Here is a 3,896-nt window from a genome sequence, read left to right as displayed (position 1 = left end):
CTTCATCTCTGTGAGCATAAGCTCCAACAGCCTACGGTGATCATGGACTTCCCTTTTCCAGTTCCCTGTGTCCCACAACACTGGCACTTTGAATTTGTCAGGACCAAAAACCTCTTGACTCTATTTAGCATATGGCCTCCCCCTCCTGGTTTTGTTCCATACCATACCAAGCGTCCCACCTCAACAACACTCACTTATCTTGTAAAATTCCGACCTTGGATCTATTCAACCTTATATCTTCTCCATTTCTATAATAAAGTTATTAAGCCCAGCTGGAAGAAAATGAAAACAACCTTTAGACTGACACTACTACAACTCTGTGGTTTTCAAATTTTAAAAAGGACTTTCAATATTTATTGGCAATCATTTTTCACGTCTCTGATCAACTCTGTCACCTTTCTCTAATATTTCAAAGTATTTCATGACTCTAGTATTTCAAAGTATTTCAGACTTTAGGGAAAGTATTTCATGACTCTCCTTAAATCCCCTTTCATATCTTTACTCCCTTCATACCAGGAGATGACACAGTCTCCCACTTCAAAGAGGAAAAAGAAGCTATGAGTAATAAACTCCCTCAACCTAATGCCCTCCTACCCACAGAGTTAACTACCTTAAGAGCCATCCTTACATTATGCCCTTCCGTCTGTCCAAGCCTCCCTTCTCATAAGACAGACATCTCATCTCTACTATGATAAACAGTAGCAGCAATGATCTCCAATGATCCATATCCCCCAGTATCCATACCCTTACATGGTGATTCTCCACTTGGCAATGAGACATGCTGTGGCCATTGGGACAATAGCAAATGTGATGCAAACTGAGTTTTGGAAAGAGCTTGGGCATTGAAATTTGCCTTCTCTTGCTGCACTTGGGAATCCTACCACCATCTCCAAGTGAATAATCCCAGGCTAGCCTGTAGAATGATGATAGACACATGGCCTGGTCATTGCCTCAGCTGATATTGAGCCAACTGTCAGTCGTAAGAGATCTTCTTACACAATTCAACCCAGACAAGCCACCAGCTGAGCTCAGAGGCCATCTCAGCAGCTGAGACCGAAATAACTGCCCAGTTTACAGATTTGTGAGAAATAATCAGTATGTGTTGCTTTAAGCCACAAAGTTTTGGAGTAGTTAACTAAGCAGCAAAAACTAATTGATCCTTGCCCTATCAGGTGTGCCTTCTAGCTCCTCTAGGTTCCCTCTTCCTAACTGGCTGCTGCTTATCAGCTTTCATACAAACTCAGGTTTCTTCTATTGTAAACCACCACCTTCACTCCCATGTGCAAATTACTTTATAACCAAGCTTTTTCAAAGCTATTTTCCTTACTTAGTGTCCAGATCTTAACTGTGAAACCTGATTGTTGCAGTCATGACTCCAATGAAACTGCTCTTAAAGTTGCCAATGAACTTGCTAACTCCAATGAATACTTTTCAGTGTTTCTTTTATTTGACTCTTTCACATTTGTACATTTTTAATATTTGAGCACCTGTTTATAGTAGTCTTACCCACTTATCCTGAGAAACTCCTATTCATATATTAGTACTCAATTCAAGAATCATAATTTAACTTATTTTTAAAAATTCACAGACTTTCTCTGGGCTACAGAATATACAAGTGTCCTACTTGTCACATATTTTATTATAACTCTTTAATAACCTTATCAAATGTTTATGATATAAAACTTCCATTAGATTTTGTGATTTCTAACACCAGCATCTAGCATGTGGAAGGGAGTCAATAAATGGTGGATTTATTGCTTCATTTGTTTAACAATCAAAATTCAAACTCTCCTCAATGAAATGAAAAAAAAAAAAAATTTAACAGAGATCAATATAATGGCCTAAATTTAGCTTAAGAACATTAATTTACAAGCATATTCTGCTATACTTTTATGTTAGAGATAGTTTGTATGAAAGAAAACTGTGAACATTATTTCACTTTAGCTCAACTTTATCCAAAAATATGAAGATATATTTTTAAGTAATGAAAACTTAGGCTAACATAATAAGAACATACCCACACTCAGGAGAGGTTATCACACTCTGTAAAATCACATCTGCTCACTTTCTGGAAGCCATCCTTTCAGAGAGATATCAGCACCATAGGCCTGAACATTATGCAATGTAGAGAATGGTGAAACAGATTGAGTCTATTTACCTTCCTAAAGGAAGACTAAAAGGAGAGACAATGGCAGCTTTTAAAATGTGAAGGGCAAGACCGTGGAGGCTCCCATAGCCCCAACAAGCAGAATTAGTACCCATAAGGAGATACAGAAAGAGACATTTCTTCAATGAAAGGAAAATTATTTACCAATTAAAAATAGTTGAAGAGGAGGGAGGAGCCAAGATGGCCGAATAGGAACAGCTCCGGTCTACAGCTCCCAGCGTGAGAGACGCAGAAGACGGTGATTTCTGCATTTCCATCTGAGGTACCGGGCTCATCTCACTAGGAAGTGCCAGACAGTGGGCGCAGGTCAGTGGGTGCGCGCACCGTGCGCGAGCCTAAGCAAGGCGAGGCATTGCCTCACTTGGGAAGCGCAAGGGGTCAGGGAGTTCCCTTTCCGAGTCAAAGAAAGGGGTGACAGAGGGCACCTGGAAAATCGGGTCACTCCCACCCGAACACTGCGCTTTTCCGACAGGCTTGAAAAACGACGCACCACGAGATTATATGCCGCACCTGGCTCGGAGGGTCCTACGCCCACGGAGTCGCGCTGATTGCTACCACAGCTGTCTGAGATCAAACTGCAAGGCGGCAGCGAGACTGGGGGAGGGGCGCCCACCATTGCCCAGGCTTGCTTAGGTAAACAAAGCAGCCAGGAAGCTCCAACTGGGTGGAGCCCACCACAGCTCAAGGAGGCCTGCCTGCTTCTGTAGGCTCCACCTCTGGGGGCAGGGCACGGACAAACAAAAAGACAGCAGTAACCTCTGCAGACTTAAATGTCCCTGTCTGACAGCTTTGAAGAGAGCAGTGGTTCTCCCAGCACACAGCTGGAGATCTGACAATGGACAGACTGCCTCCTCAAGTGGGTCCCTGACCCCTGACCCACGAGCAGCCTAACTGGGAGGCACCCCCCAGCAGGGGCACACTGACACCTCACACGGCAGAGTATTCCAACAGACCTGCAGCTGAGGGTCCTGTCTGTTAGAAGGAAAACTAACAAAAAGAAAGGACATCCACACCAAAAACCCATGTGCACATCACCATCATCAAAGACCAAAAGTAGATAAAACCACAAAGACGGGGAAAAAACAGAACAGAAAAACTGGAAACTCCAAAAAGCAGAGTGCCTCTCCTCCTCCAAAGGAATGCAGTTCCTCACCAGCAATGGAACAAAGCTGGATGGAGAATGACTTTGACGAGCTGAGAGAAGGAGGCTTCAGACGATCAAATTACTCTGAGCTACGGGAGGACGTTCAAACCAAAGGCAAAGAAGTTGAAAACTTTGAAAAAATTTAGAAGAATGTATAACTAGAATAACCAATACAGAGAAGTGCTTAAAGGAGCTGATGCAGCTGAAAACCAAGGCTCGAGAACTACGTGAAGAATGCAGAAGCCTCAGGAGCCGATGCGATCAACTGGAAGAAAGGGTATCAGTGATGGAAGATGAAATGAATGAAATGAAGTGAGAAGGGAAGTTTAGAGAAAAAAGAATAAAAAGAAATGAGCAAAGCCTCCAAGAAATATGGGACTATGTGAAAAGACCAAATCTACGTCTGATTAGGGTACCTGAAAGCGATGGGGAGAATGGAACCAAGTTGGAAAACACTCTGCAGGATACTATCCAGGAGAACTTACCCAATCTAGCCAGGCAGGCCAACGTTCAGATTCAGGAAATACAGAGAACGCCACAAAGATACTCCTCGAGAAGAGCAACTCCAAGACACATAATTGTCAG

At 42.9% G+C, this 3,896-nt stretch overlaps 1 annotated feature.

Annotated features, from left to right (window-relative positions):
- Window positions 2,556-3,162: an enhancer, noted in NCBI's record as "H3K27ac-H3K4me1 hESC enhancer chr4:111797148-111797754 (GRCh37/hg19 assembly coordinates)". NCBI's record gives its function as "activates a minimal SCP1, AML or CMV promoter by ChIP-STARR-seq in primed H9 embryonic stem cells {active_cell/tissue: H9 hESC(primed)}" and the evidence as "EXISTENCE:reporter gene assay evidence [ECO:0000049][PMID:30033119]".

The sequence above is a fragment of the Homo sapiens genome, chromosome 4 (genome assembly GCF_000001405.40).
Source record: "Homo sapiens chromosome 4, GRCh38.p14 Primary Assembly".
In the NCBI taxonomy this organism is placed as follows: Eukaryota; Metazoa; Chordata; class Mammalia; order Primates; family Hominidae; genus Homo; species Homo sapiens.
The sequence above is the reverse complement of the archived record's forward strand: the minus strand, read 5'-3'. Positions and strand labels throughout refer to the sequence as shown.